Source organism: Homo sapiens, chromosome 3 (assembly GCF_000001405.40).
Source record: "Homo sapiens chromosome 3, GRCh38.p14 Primary Assembly".
NCBI classification, from domain to species: domain Eukaryota; kingdom Metazoa; phylum Chordata; class Mammalia; order Primates; family Hominidae; genus Homo; species Homo sapiens.
This window is the reverse complement of record NC_000003.12, coordinates 106,175,014-106,197,380: the sequence shown is the minus strand read 5'-3', so window position 1 is coordinate 106,197,380 and position 22,367 is coordinate 106,175,014. Positions and strand designations below refer to the sequence as shown.

At 35.5% G+C, this 22,367-nt stretch overlaps 2 long non-coding RNA genes across 2 annotated transcripts, besides 2 other annotated features; one reads left to right on the top strand and one right to left on the bottom strand.

Annotated features, from left to right (window-relative positions):
* Positions 1 to 519: 519 nt before the first annotated feature.
* Positions 520 to 20,534, bottom strand: LOC105374027 (uncharacterized). Its single transcript, XR_924311.3, has 3 exons — positions 20,372 to 20,534; positions 18,833 to 18,880; positions 520 to 3,581 (listed from the first exon to the last, which is right to left on the bottom strand). It is a non-coding gene; the product is annotated as an uncharacterized LOC105374027 (long non-coding RNA).
* On the top strand, positions 6,113 to 10,486 carry LOC107986110 (uncharacterized). The gene is made up of 2 exons (XR_001740838.3): positions 6,113 to 8,191; positions 8,857 to 10,486. It is a non-coding gene; the product is annotated as an uncharacterized LOC107986110 (long non-coding RNA).
* Positions 12,926 to 12,975: an enhancer, noted in NCBI's record as "active region_20200". NCBI's record gives its function as "activates an Ori minimal core promoter by ATAC-STARR-seq in GM12878 lymphoblastoid cells {active_cell/tissue: GM12878}" and the evidence as "EXISTENCE:reporter gene assay evidence [ECO:0000049][PMID:35858748]".
* Positions 20,250 to 20,349: an enhancer, noted in NCBI's record as "active region_20199". NCBI's record gives its function as "activates an Ori minimal core promoter by ATAC-STARR-seq in GM12878 lymphoblastoid cells {active_cell/tissue: GM12878}" and the evidence as "EXISTENCE:reporter gene assay evidence [ECO:0000049][PMID:35858748]".
* Positions 20,535 to 22,367: the final 1,833 nt, after the last annotated feature.

Genomic DNA, 22,367 nt, shown 5'->3' with positions numbered 1-22,367 from the left:
AGACTGTGGGAGGTGGTGGTGGTGAAGACGAAGAAGATATGTTAAGAAGGTACTATTTGATGTAACTTGGTGGTGGGTTGGATAAGAAATCTGAGGAATGGGGGATTGTCAGGACTGTCCAGACTGACTCCTGATCTCCTGCTTTGTGTAACAGGATGGATGGTGATGCTAGTCACTGAGATAAGTGACACTGGGAGCGAACCAGGCGTTAACGGAGTTCACTTTGGGATACACTGAGTTTGAGGTGCCATAAAGAGACATTCAGGAGATTTCAATAGGCATCAGACATATGAATCTAGAGTTTAGAGGAGCAGTCTTTAATAGAAATATAAATGTGTATGTTCTCTGAATAAATATGTTCATTGAATCCATAGATATGAAGGAAACTAAAGAGTGAACAGAGGAGCAAGCATAGGCTCAGAAAGTAAACATACATTCAAATTAACTGCAGGATAAAGGAAATGTGGTGCTTACACACAATGGAGTACTATTCAGCCATAAACAAGAATGAGATCCATGTATTTGCAACAACACAGATGAAACTGGAGTTTATTATGTTAAGTGAAATAATCCAGGCACAAAGACAAACATCACATGGTTTCATTTATTTGTGGGATCTAAAAATCAAAACAATTGAACCTATGGAGATAGGGAGTAGAAAGATGGTTACCAATGACTGGGAAAGGTAGTGAAGGGGAGTTGGGGAGGGATAATGGGTACAAAAAATAGTTAGAATGAATGAATAAGGCCTAGTGTCTGATAGCACAACAAGGTGACTATAATCAATAAAACGTAATTGTACATTTTAAAATAACAGAGTATAATTGGATTGTTTGTTACACAAAGGATATGTGCTTGAGGGGATGGTTACTCCATTTTCCATAAGTTTATTATTTTACATTGCATGCCTGTATCAAAACATCTCATACACCCCATAAATATGTACACCTACTATGTACCCACAAAAATTAGAAATTAAAAAATAAAAAAAAAATTTACTGCAGAAGCCTAGAACTTAGGCAAGTCACCTCTTTTCTTTCTTTTCTTTCTTTCTTTCTTTCTTTCTTTCTTTCTCTTTCTTTCTTTCCTTCTTTCTTTCTTGCCTATTGAAATCTCCTGAATGTCTCTTTATGGCACCTCAAACTCAGTGTATCCCAAAGTGAACTCCATCATTTCTTATCATTTTTTTAACCTGTTTTTTATCTGAACATAAGCATAACAATATCTTTCTAAGGTTGTTGTTGGATTAATTCAGCTAAAATGTTAAGTAGCTTCCAGCATACCTTGCAAATAGATGCTTTAAAAGGGTCATAAAAATTATGATGCTGCTGTGGCTGCTGCTTTTACTGGTGATGGTGATGACAAGATAGTTATAAATTAAAGCAACAAGAACTTTGGTTAAATGCCAGTCCTTTGAATTCAAATTTTTCTGAAATCATTTTAAACTTTTCATTGATTTTCTTTTTAAGCAAAAGAAGCTGAAGATAATGTAACCTTTCCTTGATGACATGGGATCATCATTTGAACATCAGTTCTTTTTAATGGGCTCTCAGATTTTCAAAGATCATTCAGGAGTATAAGCCCTAACATTAATTAGAGTCAAATTCCTATGCTAATTGATAGGTTGTATATGGTGGGTATAGTATTCTATTATAACCATCTTCAAGATTTTGCTTTTAATATGCTTGAAATCATATAACCAAGTTTATTAGAATTGTGCCTAAAATAAATGTAGATAAAATGAAACTTAATGGGATCTAAATAAAGTATACAAATTTTATGATATTTATTGGAATAGATGATAATCGTAATGGCCTCCCTCCTGATTGATTGCAATCTTTCAGATGGTTGAGACTGCTGTCTTTCAGGTCAAGGAGATGGTGTGTATGTGAGTGTACCTGTGTATTAATTTACATATATGCATAGAATAATTTCTTCTTAGCCACAAATTGTCTTTACATGGAATTATATGTAGATATATATTAATATAGTATTTAATTTGCTTCACTAATAAATTTTTATATTCAGTAATAGAAATTTAGATCGACTATCTGCATGCATTACCTCAATTATACAATCATGAAACAATAGAGAAATCAACACACAACTGTCTATTAATATGCATAATTTCTTAGAAATGCAAAATAAATATACAAGCAGAGATGGAAAATATGAAGTGAGGAAGAGTATTCTATCCAATATTAAAAGTGATATTATGATATAATCCCATTAATGAAAATGAGATTAAAAATAAGGCTGGTAGATGTCAAAACCAGGAGTTCGAGACTAGACTTAGCAGTATGTTTTAAGGGTGCAGAAATAGAAGCAAGAAAAAATATTCACCAAAATGTCAATGGTAATTATTCCACAATGGTAGAATGTCAGATATTATATATTAGTTACAATGTCTTTACACTTTTTAAAATTATTTAAGGTGAACATGTATTATTTGTATCATCAGCAAAATTGAAAAATAAGGCAAAAAAATATTTAGAAAGCAGGGGAGAATCCTGAAAATGTCAGTGAGCCAGAAAGCCAGAATTGATATTTTGGAATAAATAACAAATACTCTTTGTTTCTAATTTATGATTTAAATAATATAATTCACATTTTGTGTATTTATTTTCATTATAATTTTTAAAGTAAAATATATATAAGGTTTCAAATGACCTAGTTTATAGGGAAAATGAAAATTAACACCCTATTGCTTCATTCTCTTATGACAAGAGGCAACTACTTTCAACTCTAGTCGTTGTTTCTACTGCTAGTTACTTCCAGCTATCTCACTAACAGGTTTCTACCATATTGCTTTATCATGTAGCATTCTATTAACTTCCTTCCCTGAGAAATGCTACTTTGGTTCACTCAAAGTATCCCATCTTCTTTATTCATAATATTTTTACTTCACCCACTTTTTTCCTTTTGTAAATTTACATAATAGATCTACGCCTTTATTCCTTGTTACATAAAGCTGACTCCTCACATTATAAAATGAACCTATAAGCACTATTACCTACCATTTCTTCTCTACTTCCCACATCCACTCCACACCCCAATTTCTTACTTTCACGACGCTGAGTTTGAAAAGACTTAAAATACTGTTGCATTTTCATATCCATTCTTCTTTGTATTCTGTCTGTAGACTGATTCTCAAAGACATAAATTAATGAAAAGTATCGAAATTATTGTAGCAGCATGTTAGTTATCTACTGCTCATAACAAATTACCGCAAACTTGGTGGCTTAAAATACCATACATTGTTAGCTCACAGTTTCTGTGAGTCAGGAGTCTGGGCACAGAGTAGCTGAATCCTCTGCTTCAGAGTCTCTCATCTGGCTGCAATCAAGACTTAGGTATGAGATGTATTCTTCTGTCAAGGCTCAGCTCAGGAAGAATCTGCTTTCAAGCTCATATGGTTGTTTGGTTGTTGGCAGAATTTGGTTCTTTGCAGGTTGTAGGACTGAGGGTCTCAGTTTCTTCCTAGGTATTGTCCAAAGCCTGCCTTAGGTTTGTCACCTCTCCAGAGAGCAGTTTGCATCACAGCAGCTTACTTCATCAAAGCCAGGATGGGATAGAGTCAGCTGACAAGACAGACATTACAATCTTATGTGATATAACCATGGAAATAGCATCCTGTTACTTTTGCCATTTTTTATTGGTTAGAAGCAAATCACAGTTCTTGCCTCAAGGGAAGGAGATGACACAAAACCATGAGTACTAGGAGACAAGAATAATTGTGAGCCATCTTGCTGTCTTTCCACCACCATCTATAGAATTATTTTGCTTTGCAATACCTACTAATATATTTTGATTATGCCTCTTTTCCTTTATAATCTTCCCCAAAGTTTCTAATTCTTTGCTTTTATTTTTTGCACTATCTTTATCATACATTCAATTTCTTTCCACCCCAAAAATTTTATATTTAATCAGATATTGCTCTGAGTTTTGTTTTCTGGAAATTTTCTTTTGTGGACTTCTTCCTCCCCCTCTTATTTGGACTAGTTGATCTGTAGGTTTGCTACACCATACTGGAGTGGTAGTCAATATTTTACAATGTTAGCATCATCTTTAATTTTGCTACAGCACCTTGTCAGTGAAATCACTTTTAGTCGTTAAGTTTTTCTTGGATGGCTACCATATGTCAGGCACTATCCTAGGCTCTGGGTACCCAATAGTAGAAAAAGAGCCAGTATAGGAAAAGAAAATATCCCTGTACTTGCGGAGTTTATATTCTAATGGAGGGAAACAGACATTATACAAAGTAAATGAGAAGACTATATACTTTACCCAATGTTCATAGAAATTCAGAAGAAAAATGAAGTAGAAGAAGGAAGGAAAGAGAGTGACTTCCTGGGCACAGGCTAGTGTTAGAAAGGTGGGGAGCTAAATTTTAAACAGGGTGGTCAGGGAAGAGCTTCCTGAAAAAAGAATATTTGAGCAAAGACATGAAGGAAGTGAGGGGGAGAGCCGTGTGTCTCTGGGAAAGAGCTCTCGAAGCAAAGTGAACCACAGTCCAGAGTTTCCTTACTCTGAGGAAACAGTGCTCTGTACCATGTCACACTGCCATCCCAGTCAGAACTGATTAGATCAGGAATTATTGCCAGAACCAAAGCGTCCAATGAGTTTTCTTGGCAGGGAAACTCTATAGAATAGAGATGTCCTATTGTGAGATGAGACCGGCCCACCCTGATCTGATTGATGTTCTCCAGTGGAGTCCCGTCATAGCACAAAGATAATTGAAGAGAGCCGGATACCTGCGAGGGACTCAGCAGAGGCCATGCCCCAACAGCAGTAATGATAAAGCAGAAGCCAAACAGTAGAAAGACACAAAGTTAAAGATAAACAGAAGAGAAGCAGAGGCATCAGAGACCTGAAACCAGAAAATGCTGAACTCCCAAGTTGCTGATGGCAGACAGGCTAGGGAAGAATGAACAGTTTCCTTATCTCCCCAACTTCTAATGGATCTATGTTTCCTCAGTTCTTGGTGGGTTTTGCCATAAAATCATGTTTCCTGTTATAAATGAGGAATGAGTGTCTATGCCTTATAAACAAAAAAAAAAAAAAAAAAATAGCAACAAAGCAACTATTTCTGCTTTTCTTAATTAGCTTGATGTCTTTACTTCTTTATTACTTTGTCTTTATTTCAACCTATAAAAACATAAAACAAAAGATAGTTTCGGAGTATTTACAGTTTCAGAAGCTTCTAACATCAACCTAAAACCTCCTAGTTGCTTTTTCCGTATTGAGAATATCTACAAATTTCGGTTTTGTTGTTGTTGTTACTCACCCCCACCAACACTGCCAAGGGATTTCTGGGGTACCTATATCAAAGGGAAATTTTAGTATCTTTCAGACTGATTTCTTAGGTCCTTGTCTACTTCTGTGCCTGTCCTTGTAATTGAGATTGTAGATGTAGGGGCTCTGTTTCCACTACACTATTAGCAAATGTATTTCCCACCCTCTTTTACATAATTACTGCCTTGAATCCATTAGAGCAACTGCAGGAGGTAATTTTGCACCCTTACCTTGGGCTGTTGTCACCATCCCCTCTCTCTCTTTCTTCACTAAAACCTCAAGGGGTTTTGATTGTAAATTTTGTATTCTATGAGACTAATATATTTATAATATCTTGCAATATAAGTTAGACTGGTGAGTGCATGACTGTTGCACTTTAAATAGCCCATCACTTAAAGACAGAAACAATTACCAATAGCAGGCTCTGAAGAGATGCTTTACATTCGTATATTTAAATGGCTCCCTGTTCCAGTGGAATAAATAAAATAAGGCATTATTTCTTTTCCTGTCTTGTTTTTCTACTAAATGTCTACCTTTCATGTTACAATAGTTGGGGAATATGTGCTTCTAAGAAAATGTGCTTAAGAGTGATAATTCAGGGAAAGCCTGCACATTAGTCATCGAAGTAGATTTTTAGTAATTCCCATTTTCCCCATGAAAATAACTGAGTAAAATTATGATAACAGAATGTAATGCATACCACAATTATTTTGCTAAGCTCAGCCTCTGAAGTGCAAAAAAGTGTTGTGACATGCTTGAAATCAGTGCTTAAGCAATTCTATATTTATTTTAGCATTTGATTTTTAAGTTTTGCTGCTACTACCTTAGTCTAAATAGCATAACATGGAAAAGCAAGTGCATTGAATTTTTGGAAAAGATAAAATGACTTCTCAATTTATGAACCCAACATCTGGAATTCTCCAGAGCACTTCCTCAAATCAATATTTTTCCATTTGTTGAATTTCAATTGTTTTAGATAATGTCTTTGACATCATATCAACTCATTAGGAGAGTATTATTGTTTCACAAGAGAGTAATTCTGTCAAAAGCAAAGCTAAGATCACAAGGGATCCAAACTCTATTTTCATGTAAATATATTTAATAAGGAGAAGAGGCAGAGGAAAAAGAGAATGGGAGATAAGTCAGTCTAAATGGAAGATGAGTGCTTCAGATTATTAGAGAGATTAACATATAATATATAAAGGTATCTGGGCTAGTTGTATCAATTGATTAGATCCTATATCAAGCATTGATGATTTGATATTTGCATGGGTCACTAAGTTTTGCACAATGGGGAGAAAAGTTTAACAGATACTTCTCTGTGGTCAACAAACCATTCTGAATGCATGAGGTGATGGGGCAAAAAATTGTTGATGGCCCCACACTGTCAGTCAATCCTAACCACTGGACATCAACCCTAGGTGCTGGTCTCATTTACAGTGGTCAGTAGTCTTTTGTGCCTATGAAAACACATGGTTAATATCGTTGGAAAGTCCAGATTTTGCTGATTACTTCACATAGCAGGCACTTAATAACGATGTGCTGAATAAAGGAATGTCTGATTTTATGGACTCACATGAAGCAGTCATTATGCAATTGCACAGATACTTGTCATGATAGAGAATCATGAAGGACAGAAGCAAAAATCAGGGGTGGAGGTAGAAGAAGACTGAGAAAGCTTTCTACAGTTTTTCCTGATTTCCCTTTTATTTGCTCTAGCCAAGCAATCTTGGCTAAGAGGGGAAATGAGCTGAGAGCATTTTGGACAGAAGGGGAAAGTGGAACAAAAGCACAGGGTACAAAGAGCTCTAAGATGCATAGCCCTGCATCAAAAAGGAAATACACTTTTCTCTCTGTTGTACCTCTTATATTGTCTTAATGACTTCAAGTTATTTTCAAGGAACCAGGAAATGCACAGAGATCCCTCACTCCCGCCACAACCAAGCCTACACCTTCAATGCATACCTACATTGTTACGACAGAATAAACTGTCACACATTTGTTGTGTACCTACATTTGTTGGGACAGAATAAACTGTAGAGTCAATTATCTCCTGAATAGTTTGCCAACCCTTGCTAATACTACTAGACACTTAGGATGAGGATGTCCTTTTAGATTTAATAGAGCTCATAAAATAATCACTCCACGTAAGTGAATTTAAGGTTTTAAAGAGAAATATCTCAGTAATTGGGCAAAATCTTATCAGTGCCTAGAGGGAATGGAACTTTGTTTAATTGTTTTATTGAAATAAGAACAGACACCCAACAAAGAAATAGTAAGAAACGAGAAATGCTGAATTGGAAAGGAGTTTGCTTGGTAGTTAGCAATGTAAATATACCTATTTTTTAAAGTGCAGAAAATAGCTGGTTGAAAGGAGAGAATAAAATTTCATCTTTTATAATGTTGATACTTAGAATTTATATAATATCTCTGATCTTTATCACCATATCTATAATCCAAAAAATTTCTGAAGGCGTTAGGAGGTGGTCAATGTTATTTTCAATTTGCAAAGTAATTATTTAGCAATAAAGATTATGTAAGGCCAGCACCAGCTGTGAAATAAAAAAAAAATGGAAACCAGAATTGCGTATTCAAATTTACTATGGAGTTTCCTATATACCCACTCCCTTTTAAACCAGCACCCACATAAAAAATTAGAATGGTGGTCTGTTAAGAATGACCATCTGGGTGACTGTTCTCCCTTTTTCACTAAATGCTATGGTCTGAATGTCTATGCTGTCCCAAAATTTATATGTTGAAAACAAATAATCAATGTGATGGTTTTAGGAGGTGGGGCCTTTGAGAGGCCATTATATCATGAAGGCAGAACACTCAGGAATGGGGTCAGTGCCGTTATAAAAGATGCCCTGGAGAGACCTTTTGTCCCTTCTACCAGGTGAGGATATAGTGAGAGGGTATCATCTGTGAACCATAAAGAGGGCCCTCATCAGACACTGAATCTGCCTATGCCTTGATCTTAAACTTCCAAGTCTCCAGAACTGAGAGAAATACATTTCTGTGATTTATAAGTTTCCCAATTATGGTATTTTTATAGCAGCCAAATTGGACTAAGATAGCAATTCTATAATGATATTGTGTAATGGAATAATAGAGCTAGTGAGAATATATGACATTTCCTTTTAATATAAAACTTTATACATGCCACCTGAGATCACCAGTTTTCCTTTTAGGAGGAAAAAATCTGGTTGAAGCAGAGGTTCTTAGACTTGTAGCATTTCCAATGTAATAGAGTAAATGGACAAATAAATTCTTAGAATATCCTTAGGCAAATGCCTGATATAGTCCTCTATCAGGACAACTTCATTTTTAGTATTTGATTTCTGAATATATATATTTTTAAATATTATAATTTATATCACATTATATGCATTTTAAAAGATAAAAAGGCATAGTCTCATTTTCAAAATTGCCTTACAAATTTATTATATACGTGTGTGTATATATACAAATGTACATGTCATTTATTATGCACATTATCTTATTTAATTATAATAACCTAGGGAATTAAGACTTTACATCAGATTTTCTTTTCTTTTTCAGATTGGAAAAGCATTGGAAAATTTGTCCAAAGTCACTCAACAGATTCATGATGGATCCTGGATTCACAGCCAGCTTTACTTGGCAATAAAATTCAAGTCCTGTTCACATCACAACACATTTTTACCGAAAGAAAAATATGATGTGTAGATGTTTGGAGGCATCCTATCTTAATGAGGCTTTTGTTAGAAAGAGTTTTCTTAAAATTACAGGGTTGGGGAAATAAAAAATGTTTGTTGCTCAGATTAACAAAAAAATGGTATATAGAAAATAAAGCTAAGAAAGGAAAGTGCAGACAACCAAGAGACTAGAATTTTCAATAAATGGCAAAATTGTGGTGTTCTGTGGTTACCTCTTGAAGATTTGGCCTGAATCATGCAACAATTGCCCCTTACCCTCAGTCCTCAAATTACAATAGTGAAAGAGGTTTCTATAGGTATTATATTTGAATCTGCTATATTTTGTTTATTACTTGCAAGGACATATAGGAGAGCAAAAGTTTTCCCTCTAATTTCTTAGGTTTAGTAACTGGAACTTGTGAATTAAACTGGCAAAATACAGATTAACAGGAGAAGAGTCATAGACATTTTATTTTAAATTTCATATGCAATGTAGTTCCAGAGAAAAGAAGTGAAAGCCTGAAGAAGCAATTAGACTTGAGGAGTTATATCTTTAACAAAGGGTGGTGAGTGTAGAGAAGTGACTAGATTTTTTTTAAGATGGTTTTAGGCTTCCAAGGGTGATAAACCATGGGAAGGAAAATACATGAGGGAAACTAATGGTATATAGGAGTTATTTAGTAAGGTTTGTTTACACAGACTAATCTCAGTGGTAAGAACGGTTTTTCTCCTTTTTCTGGTCAGGGGAAGGAGAAGGGACACCATCACAATGGGAATTTGTGCTTTGCTGGTAGACAAATAGGAGCAGAGCAGAGAACTTCTTTCTCTCAATTGTCTTCAGCTCAGAATAATCCTTATGCCAAACAGGCATAATTTGGAATTACATATTTTCATCCTCTCCACACACAAGCTTCCGTATAAAGTTCAAAGACAGTAGTATTTTCTTATAATTCACTCTGCCCCAAATATTAACTAAGATGACATTCTTTTTCCAGCTTGATTCTGCAACATTCACTTCCAGAAACTTTATCACTCTTAATCCTGGATTGAAGGAAAATATTTGAATGTGATAAAGGATATATATTTTAAAAAGAAAGGAACTATAATAAAAGGCAAGATTCAGAAATTATGTTGTAATCTGTGACTTAGTGCAATTTAGTCCTTGAATTTCTTGTGTGCAATTTATTGAAGCTATCTTATTATATGTTAATTCTGTGTCTTCTTTGCCCTCTCTTTTTGTAAAAATTTTCTTTTTCTGAATTTTTTTCCAGAGTCAATCATTGATCTTCTTGATAACATTCATTTCCCTTGGTGAACTAACTTTGGTTCATCGCTTTATCATTCTTCTCCAGGCTGTTTTTGAAGGGTCTGTGAGCTGAGAATGGTTTTTAATAGATAAATGCTCACAATCAATTTGGGGATAAGAAATATTATTTTGAATCTCAGTTACAAAAAATGTTATCCTTCATAAAATAATTCATTTTTTTCTCAGTAATAAAAATGTATTTCAAAAATATGGTGTCCTTATTATATTTTAAATTTTGCCAATAAAAATAATAAAAATTGATTTTCTCTAATTATGTAAGTACCTAGATGATTTTTAAAATTTTGTCTCTTGACTTATACAAAGCCTAAAATATTTATAACTGCCCCTTTATAGAAAAAGTTTGCGAACCTATTTTCTAAAGGTTGGATCCACTCAACAGATATCTTTTATTTGGACTTCAAAATGTGCTTCAGAATGCACGAAAACAATAACTACAAAAACATATATTAATTTCTTTCTTTCCTGAACTCAAATAGCAACTTGCAACAGCATGCTTTCTAGAGTTGGAATATTCATGTGTTACATTGTGTGTAGGGGGTTGGAGGGTGTGTGTATGGGTCTGTGTCTGTAGAATTGGACCTCATCTCTGCTCTTCAACAAAATTTAGGTTTAGAAAAGGGAGTAATTTCATAAACTTATTTTGTTTCTCATGAATGATACTATTTTGAAATTAACAAAAATGATGCTCAGTGAACACCAAACCAATAAATGTTTAAATGAAATGGAGAATTTGAGTCTTAACATTAAATCTTAAGCAAAATACACATTTTAAGGATTACGAATACTTTACTTCAAAATGAAAGTTGTCATCATCAGCTCCCTATACACTCAAGAATTCTCAGTGAAGTGAACAGAATTAGAACTACAAGTGAAAAAAATTAGAACTGCAGTAAGAAGTTCCTGTTAGAGACATGACTCAATCTCTCAACTCCTATGTGGCCGTGGAAAAATTGGTTTATCTGGCTGATAAGCCAGGTACCTTTTTCTAAGTACCTTGAAGTGGCTGACCTCTAAGATTCCTTGAAGTTATGACAATCTATAACTGGTATGGTGGGCAGTCTCACCAGCAAGTGACTTTTGTGGTCCCAAATGTTATTATTTAAAGGGGTACAAGTCAGATACTCTTTCTGCAAATTATCAGCCTTACTGACTATTGACGTTTTGTTATGGGTTAAATAGGCATCATACCTAGTTTCCCCGTATTCTCAACTCTCAACAGAGATAGCTACTATTGCTATTCCTATTTCTTTTCAGACAAAGAATTCAAAAGAGATTGAAGTCATTTACCCATGGTTATAAAACCCAGAAGTGTCAAAACTGAAATTTAAACACTGTTTTATTTCAAACTTAAATTGCTGATGCCCAAGCTATATAGTTTCATGGTTTAGTGGTCCCCTCCTGAAAAATGTTTTCATTTTCTAAATTTGAAGAAATCTCCTTTGAAAGGCAAAACCCTTAAGCTTGCTTTGCCCGACACTTTATCCCCTTGACAAGAATCAGGGATGGCAGGAAGACAAAGGGAGGGTCAGAAGGAAGAAGTGGCTCTGGCAGAAGTAGATGGGAAGCCAGCAGGGATGAACTTCACCTTGATCATTATGTTGCCTAAGACAGGTCTGACTTCCAGTTATAATTAAACATGAACATCTTTACCAAGCATTCATTTACTTCATGTGTTTTAGAGAAGAACATTCCACCCTAATGCGACAGAAAGGTTAGAGTTAAACTAGAAAATGAGATTGGAAATCCCATCCAAGCATGTAGCATGCAGTAATCCCCCTATATGGAGGATAGGTTCTGAGAGCCTAAACCCATGGTTAGTACTAAACCCTACATATACTATGTGTTTTCCTACCCATATATACCTATGATAAAGTTTCTTTTATAAATTAGACACAGAGATGAATAACAATAGCTAATCATAAAATGGAACAATTAATATACTGCAGTAAGGGTGATGTGAATGTGGTTTCTCTCACTCTTTCTGAAAATATCTTTTTGTAATATACTCACCTACTTTTAAACCCGCAACTAACCATGGGTAACTGAAACTACAGAAAGAGAAACCACAGATTATAGAATACCACTGTACTCTCTCTGCCCAAGTCCTATCCTCAAAAATGTCTTGATTACTACAAAATGGCTTTTTCTTTTTTTTTTTTAACTTTTTAAGTGAAAACTGAACTATTAAGTTTATATATTTGATGATCTCCTATTTTCTAACTTCTTTCAAAATAAATCAAAGAATATATATGTGAATGTATCTATATCTTTAAATTACTTAGAAAGAAAAATTTTCCCACCACATTTATCTCAGCTAACTCATGAAACTGAACTCATTGTTTCAGTTCCCAGTGAAGTGATATTAACAAGTGTTTTTAGTTGGGGGAGTAAAGAAGGAGGTGCGTATAGATCTAGGGGAGGTGGGAGATGGGAGGGAGGCTAGACCCAGTGAGATGGATAAGATTAGCAGCCTAATGAAGCATCTTGCCATTGAAGCCCATGTACCATAAAAATGCACATACGAATTTATTTTTATAAAAATATAGCTGTCAGCTTACATATTATAATGCAGTTGGCAAAAAATAAGTTAATAAAAAAGTTCTCTTCTAAAATTTGTTAGATTGCCACAAAAAGGAAGCTTTCTACAACGTTTTTTTTTTTTCTTAGAACCCTTGGGTTAATGAAACCTAGTCTGTTACAGTTACTGTTTTTCTTCTCTCTACTCAGCATGGATTACTTGATGTCTCATCTATGGCAGAGTCTGCCAAGACAATTGAGCAAGTCTAGTGTAGAGAACTTTAATGTAGTTGGAACATATCCAGCATCAAACAAGAGTCTGTGTCAAGATCTAAGACTAGCCAGATTTTCTTTCTCAGGTGTCATTTTCTTTCTCAGGTGTCATTTCCTTCTCTCTGGAGTCATTGGGTGTCTGATTCCTTGAGTCCTCAGGCTATCAGGAACTTTCAGAAGAGATGTGTTTTCTCTGGTTAGATAACATGCCTTGGTGCTAATCCTCAAATCTCCTTGAATTCAAGTGTGTCCTGAGGCAAGAATTTTCACTGCTTGCCTGTTTCTGCATCTGAAATTTATGGGTTTTCTCATTCTGAGCCAGTTCACAAGTTGGCTGATGATTGGTGAGATCAATTATCTTTGTGAGAAAGGAGCTCTACAAATGTTAAATTGTACTAAATCATTGAGTAACGTAAAGCTGCTATGTCAAGTTACAGAAAGCAATCAAAGCTGCCTAATGCATCTGTTGCCTATTTTTAGAGCCTGAATCAACTCATGGAGCCAGTTAGGTAACTCACATAATAATAACTGAGTACTTATTATTTTTTAGTCATTATGCTAAAATGTTTCATATGAATTAATTTATCCACCTCATACCAACCTGTGAGGTAGGTAATGCTATTATCTTCCACTAGCAAATGAGGTAATTAGCCCAAGGACACCGATTGATAAATGGTGCACTAGAAATTGAAGCTGAGACTTCAGGTTCCAAAACAATTCCATTGTACTGCTTACAATGTAGTCATGCCCTTTGACCTCCAATAATAATAGAATTTCATGCCAAGACTATTTAGATGTTTAGAGCTAACTCTGAAGTAAAAATGCCTGCATGGCACTGCCAATTGCTAGGTGCCGACCCTTGGGCAAAGTGATATTAACCTCACCTGTAAAATGGGGTCAATAACCGTCCCTGCCCATAGGGTTGTTTTGAAGTAATCCATGTAGAGCATGTACACTAGTGCTCAGTACGTAGTGAGCATTCAAACATTTTAGGTACTATTAGCACTTACATAATGACACTATCATTTCTAATCACATTCAGCTGGAAGGCATGCATATGAATAAACATCAATTCACAGGTCCTGTCTGACCTATTGATTCTCACTTGCTGATATAATCAAAATAAAACAGTAATAAGGCAGTGCAGCCTCTTACACAGACAGCAGCCTGGCTTCGTTCTAAGATTTAAACATCAGTTTAAATCAGCTATTTCAATCCAAGCCATTTTGAATGAGGTAATGGTTTGTGTGCGTTTTAGGAGAAATTACAAAGTAAAGTGAAGTAATGCCTTCATTATGCATATTAAGGGTTTGGATTCTGCATGGTCAGTGGGTAGGAAGATTCTGGACTTATTTCAAACCGCCCTTGTAATTGTATCTGTCTGCCTTTTGTATAAGCAGGTAAGAACTGCTGAAACCTCTAACTAGCCAAAGAATAGACAGAAAGAAACCATGTATATTCACATTTGTTTCCAAATAGCCTATGGAAGCCACAGGGAGTTATGCAACCTTAGAGAGAGAATATTGGAATTTTTTTTGTATTGATGTATTTAATGATAACTCCCTTAAATTCAACCCCCCTAGATTAACTTTGAGTTTGAGTTCAAGCTCTGCTACTTAATTAGATTTGTGACCTTAAATATGCCTTTAAGTTTCCTTTTCCGCATTGGGAAAGTATAAATGATACTACTACCTACTCATTCGTAGTTGTAGCATTTAAGAGAATCTATGCAATTAGTATAGTGACTAACATACTATGTTATCAATAAGTTTTAGCAATTATGATGTTATGAGTATTCTTATTGTATATTCTGCTAGTAATTGAATATGACTGTAATTTAAGCTTGTCTGTCGATTCTGCATAGTATTAAAAAGCTTAGAAAAGAGCATAAACTATGTTTTATAAAAGTTAAGCAATTAAAAATGGCAAGAATATATACCTTTTACTTGCAAACTCTTATATGTCCTTAAATTCCATGTAATGAAAGCCAACTTTTTGTGTGTTTTTTAATCATACAAAATCATCAAACCATCAAGTAATATTTGTAAAGTATCTGCATAAGCATGGTATCACGCTGGGTGCTGCAATACAATAATTAATAATGATATCATGCAAAAACAGTATTTTTCAAGGTTTTAAATATGGTTGTAAACTAATTAATTTTCATTGCAAATATTTTTATAAGAATAAGAAACTCATTCTTGTAAAGCATGGTTTGAATGAACTGGATTCAGATTGCGAGGCAGAAGGGAACTCAATTCTTCTGATACTCAAACCCAAATCCTATCCAGCTTTTAGTCAGTGTGTGGGAACATCAGTAATTTATGTGCCTTCTATTTAAGTTGAGGAGCTAAGATGTTAAGTAAGAGAACTCACATGGAAGAGGCCTTAAATTCAGTTTATCTTAAAGTTTCTCATAAACGTGCTTTTCATCTATGAAGCCTATTCCTGGCATCATAGAAGATTGCAGTTGCTCTCTTTCCCTTAGCAACAATGAAGAAAATATGCTGCGGAAATGTGAAACATATAACGTACAAATATAATAGTATTAACATTCTTCCCAAGCTTGTTACTCTTTCCATTTTTCTCTTGACTTTTATTTCTTTTCTCTCTAGAAAAATACTGTTATTTTGAGAAAAGGATAGTAAGCCAATGAGCACCTGCCAGGGGCAGGAGCATAACCCTATAGGAAACCCTGAAAGACTGTCCGTAAGCATCAGGGAGATAGGGTTTGAATCCCAAACCATCTTCTATTAGGCTGGTGCAAAAGTGATTACAGTATTGCTATTACTTTCAATGGCAAAGACCGCAATTACTTTTGCACCAAGTTATAGGTTTGAAACTCTGGAAATTAGGTAGGTTCTTTGTCTTATCTCTGTCCTCTATATTTCACCTTTTATTTCTAAAATACAAATACTACAAATACTAACATCACAGGTTTAATTTTTAAGACTACTATATAGTAGAAATTAAAAACAAAATAATAACTCTTTGTCTAATTCATTTTCAAACATGCTAGCCATTTTCATTCATGAGAATAAAATGTCTGTGTAGCCCTTCTACATCCAGAAAGCTTTAGCAATACACTCAATACACATACAAAGTATGTTTGATTTGTTTTACCAATAGTTTATAGTTAGTGATAACCATCTCTGATATAAGTGATTCTCAAGCTAGACTACACATTAGAATCATCTGGGACCTTTAAAAAATACTGATTCTCAGGTTCCATCCCGAATTAATCAAACCATTATTTCTGGCAATGGGACCCTTTGCAGTCATTGGATTTTTTAATCAGTTAAATAACTCCACTGTGCAGCCAGTTTTAAGGTGCTTTCTTAGAAGGTTTATCCATCTTTCATGTTTCAACTCAATTCTATAGTCTTCCCTTATCTTCTTGACCCTATATCATATTGAGGCTGAAAGTGTTGCATTTATTTACTGCATTCTTAATGATGTATCTTGTAAATGCTGGATGTATTTGTATACATTATTAAGAACAGTAGATTTGACTACATGTGCAGATTTCAAGGAAATTCAAGCACGGTATCTGACAAGAAGTCTCTCACAGCAACACAAACTTTGTCTCCCCCACTTCTCAAACTTTCCTCCTGAACATAGAAGCCTATTTATTCTTTTTTCTCAACCTTTTTATAAAAAGTGATTTTATCTAGTTTTTCCATTTGCAACCCAAATACTCTCCATCCCTAAATTTACTTTCCTTCTGGGAAGTGAAATAATTTTAATATGTGCAGAATTGCCTAAATGCAGTTAGATACATCTGCATTAGTCTAACCAAATATGCATTAATTTTGTTTTGCACAGTGGTTTGTGATTACCTGAAATTTCCCAAAGGTGTTTTTCCAGATAAACTATTAGCTCTTATTTCTGGATCTGCCTACCATGGCTCACAGGTAGAAAACCCAGGCTATTATTGTACCCCTAGTTCACAGGCGTATCTCCAGACGCAAAGGATTACAACAAAAAATTGTGAACCTTCAGCTCAAGGGAGGCAGATGTGTACTAGAGTCAAGACTCAGAAAATAATATGAAGCTTCTTTTATTCCTTTAGGAAAAAGGATAAAAGAAAAAGGGGTAATTAAGTCTCTTTACATCCACCACACTCAGCAGCAAATGACTTCTTGTTTAATAGAGTTAACAATGAGAAAATTTATTTCCCTTTGAATAATTGCCTTTACTTAATTACAGTTAATCAAAACCTACAGGAGTAAAAATGCTAGAGAATTGTGCTGCCACTTTGTTGCTTTTCACAGAAGGTTTGTATAGAAGAAATAGATAAAGGAAACAAATATGTGGATTTTAGATAACTTCCCCTAATTAGAATAAAGACTCATCCTAATACAAGGGAAAATGCAGTTTGCTTTCCTATTAATATAACCAAGTTTCATGGCTTTGAGACCTCTGATCTGCTTGGATTACATTATAGCTGTCATCTGCAATCTGTATTTCTTAATAATAGAATTTGCTCACTTCCTTAAGTTAAATTGTTTTGGGGGAAACATTTAAGAAGCAATGCCTTCACTTGGGAAGCATAAGGTTTAAGTCACACAAACTGAAGGTAATTATTTTGCTAAGTTAATTAGGAATGTTTATGTATTTGATAAAATACAAATACAATTAGAAGACAAATAGATTACAGCATGAGGCTTAAGGACCATGGACTGATGTCAAAGTATATAGGACATCATTATTTAGATATCTGTAAGGTACCTTAATCCCAATATGTACAAAACTGGACCCAGCATCTTCCTTCACTCTCAACCCTGTTTGGTTCATTTTGAAAAAAAAAAATGAGGAACATAGAGAATAAGAAACCAGAGTCATCCTAAACAAGTCTTCTTCCCTTCCCATCTTTCCATATGTAATTCATCACCAATGTCTGTTCATAAAAAATTCAGACACATCTCTCCACTCTGTTCTCCTATCTACACCTCCATCCTCACTACCACCTGAAACAGGTTACAAGTACCCCTAGGACTGGACTGCTGTAAATGGCTCATAAGTGATCGACCCACTGTCATCCATCCTTATCCCTGCTCATGCATTTGCCCCACTACACCTAGAAAAATCTTTGCAATCTTTTCCACACAAATCTGATTGTGTTACTCCTGTCCTTTTCTGATTCCCTATCCTCCCTCAGCTTTGAAATCCTTTAATTTTCCTCCTAACATCTCACAATCTCCTCCCCGTCCCTAGTCCTGGCCTGACCTTGTTTACCATGTTTACCCATGAGCACACCCCAGCTCAGTGTGCTCCTTGGCTTCTTCCCTCAGCATCACCATCACCCAGCCAGGATATTCAGAGGACCGAACCCTCTTTCCTCCCCTTTAGTCCCAATTTACTCCTATTCATCCTACAGACTTCAGATCATTTCCCTTTCCCAATCTTCCTGCATGCATTAATTTTCCTATTATGCTACCTCAGAGTACCATATACTTTAGCACTTAAAACAATTGCAGCTTTACAATTATTGCTTATTAGTTACTGTCTCCCCCAATAAACTGCATTTGTTTGCCATTATATCTTTAGTGCCTTCTACAACTCTAGGTCACTTAAGCATTTAATAAATAAATATTAATTTAATGAATTAATGAATTAAACGGCTTGATTCCCATAGAATATGACACATTTTGAAAATCCCACAACAATTAGGGCATACCTAAATCTTGTATGTTTCAGTAAATGCTATTGAAAAAATATCATATTGACAGGCAACTCCTACCTGGATTACGGTAACCTGTCACTTCTTGTCTAATAGGAAACTGTGGTTCTGGGGAGGAGAAAAAAAACACATAATTATAAAACATGATATAATGCCAAATGGGTTACAATCCAAAAGGCTCTGAGCTTAATATAATACCTAAATTCCAGTGTCAGCCAAACTAATTTCCAAGCATATATCTTATAGTTGAAACAAAATGCTTAACACTTGACCCTAAGTATGTATAAAATCTGTGATGGTTAATATTCAGTGTCAACTTGATTAGATTGAAGGATGAAAAGAACTGTTCCTGGGTGTGTCTGTGACGGTGTTGCCAAAGGAGATTAACATTTGTGTCAGTGGACTGGGAGAGGCACACTCACCCTCAGTATGGGTGGGCACCATCTAATCAGCTGCCAGTGCAGCCAGAATAAAGGAGACAGGAGAAGATGGAAGAACAGACTTGCCGAGTCGTCCGGCCTTCATCTTTCTCCTGTGCTGGATACCTCCTGCCCTCGAACATCAGACTCCAAGTTCTCCAGCTTTTGGACTCTTGGACTTACACCAGCTGCTTGCCAGGGGCTCTCAGGCCTTTCACCAGAGACTTAAAGGCTGCACTGTCGGCTTCCTGGCTTTTGAGATTTGGGGACTTGGACTGATCCACCACTGGGCTTCCTTGCTCCTCAACATGCAGATGGCCTATCGTGGGCATTTACCTTGTGATTGTCTGAGTCAATTCTCCTTAATAAACTCCATTTCATATATACATATATTCTATTAGGTCTGTCCTTCTAGAGAACCATAATACAAAATCCTTCTAGAGAAAAACGTCTCCTTGAGGGTCAATGGCATACTTTTCTAACTAAATTTGTCTTTTATAGATGCCAAACTCTTATTGGAACATAAACTTTGAGACTATTTTTAGAAATAAAGATTTTTAAACATCCATATTCTAGGACTTTGGAGGTTTTCCATTTTGTCAGCCATTTTTAGACTCTTTAGCACTCAATGCTATGCCTGTGTTCCTGGAGTAGTAGTATAGGAATCACAGATCCTGAGTTTTTGTTTTTATTTCCTCTACTGGTCTATCTATTTATATAACATGCATAATTTGGTAGAAGTTATTTTCATATGTCCACACTTCAGTTGCCTCATCAATAACATGGAGATAAAATGTCTATTTAATCCTTAATAGGAGGATCAAATTAAATGCTGTGTGCAAAATACCTATAAGGTTGTGAGATACACACTGGGTTTCCAATTAATGTTAGTTCTTGTCCTCTTATTTTTCTTTCTCATTTGTTTCATCATTTTGACCACTCAGGGTCTTTTAAAATGTGGAGATCTATACACTAATTTGTATACATTCAATTTCAAACTACGTTTCATCTCATCTCTTCAAAAGATGGATATAAAAATCTCTCCCTAGAGAAGTGAAATGACTCTTTTATTCTGATAAGTGCATTTGTTTATAGAAAGCTGCCAGTGAAGAGCACACATGAAAACAGAAAGACAAGAGGACCTTTAAAAAACGAAGAGGAAGGAACCCATGTAACTCACGTCATTTTCAGATTGAAGTCCTCTGACATGTGGTTTGCCTGAAGGAAATAATAAGTGATACCAAAGAATGTAACATAACCTCTTCTAAACATCTAAGACCTTCTCTCAAGGACCACCTTCGGGTGGAAATCTGAGTCACACACCCTGCTTTTCTGGAAAGAGTGATTTTGAAACCAACAGCTAACTTCCTCCAGTCAGTTAAGGGAGGTGCCCCTTTAACCATGTAATGTATGATAGCAAGAACAGTTGTTTTCTTTTTCTTTCTAGTAGCACAGACTTTTTTTTAAAAACACACTTAAAAATTATTTAAACCTCCTTGCTCAATAACTTTTGCAAATCGCAGTGAGAATTTAAGGGCTCAGACCCATAAATAAGATGTATTTCTTTTGGATGTTTTATCTCAGCCTTTCAAATCACATTTCTATGATTAGTCCTAAAATATTTTAACATTGAAGTATTCTCTATGTTGTTCCCTTTGTAAGCAATCGACCAACCAACCAACCAGACAAAAACTTAGCTTGCAAGTAGAAGTATGGCTTTGAAAACAAATCCAATATAGTGACTGAATAAAACCTCTTTTGGAATATGAATTGAATCACTGACATTTAGCAGAAGCATCCAGCTAAGTCTTAGCCTGAGGTGATAAATAGTGTCTCTCAAAATGAAATTCTCTGGCTTAGGTCCCATTACAAATAAAGATACAACTTTCTGCATATAATGACTTCATTCCAAGGAATTGATACTTGCACAAGGAGATGGTTTTATTATTGCCATGTATTATACTATATCACCCAAAACCATTACTTAGGAGTTAAGAATATAGATTTGGGCTGGGCACGGTGGCTCATGCCTGTAATCCCAGCACTTTGGGAGGCCAAGGAGGGTGGATCTTGTGAGGTCAGGAGTTTGAGACCAGCCTGGTCAACATGGTGAAACCTCATCTATACTAAAAATACAAAAATTAGCCGGGCATGGTGGTGTGCGCCTGTAATCCCAGCTACTCAGGAGGCTGAGGCAGGAGAATCGCTTAAACGTGGGAGGCAGAGGTTGCAGTGAGCTGAGATCACGCCATTGCACTCCAGCCTGGGTGACAGAGGGAGACTTTATCTAAAAAAAAAAAAAAAAGAAAGAATATAGATTCAAAATTCAGTTTTCCTGAGTTGAAACTGGCTCCATCACTTCTTAACTGTGAGATCCTGGATAAGTTATATAACCTCTCTCTGCTTTGATTTCTCTCATTTGCAAAATGTTGATAATAAAGATATCTTGTAAGATTGTTATAAATTTATGTGACAAAGCATACATTTGTATATCAGTTATACATGTTGCCTACAGTTTCATTATAAAGTCTAGAAATATGAGTATTTACCATATAAAGCCAACATATTAAGTAATCAATTTAATGCTTGTACTTGACAAGCTAGAAAGTGGTCACCTGGGGATGCCCACAGGATGGGAACCACCCCATTATGCTAGAGTGCTAGGGGACTAGTTGGACAATAAATTCCCAAACTGCATTGCCTTTTATGGCAGTGTGGAATGGAGTACACACTTAACAGATTTAAACCCCTTCTGTCACTTCTAGGGAATGCTGAAGGTACAAGTTGCTTCAGAATAAATCTGAGACACATTCATCCCAGGCAATGCATCACAGATGCATGAGCAGGGACTCGTGAAAACAAAAGCACTGCCTTTGCTGCAATTTTGCACACCTTATCCATCTATGCATTGTTAATGAGGGACAACCTGTGGAACATACCATGTAGATCATTGAGCAAATTATAATGAAAACCAAAGTTACTATGTAAACTGCCTAACTTTTCAGATCTCTGGATGCCCAGCATTATGTAAATGGTAGGCATGTTAGTACTAAAGGTAATTTATTGTGCTCTTGCCCATCCTCAACAGTAATCCAAGGGATTTTCCCTTGACTACACATTTAGAAAAAGGCAGGTATTGTGAAGAGGGTTCTTCTCCTAGGCTTATTCCAAAAGTA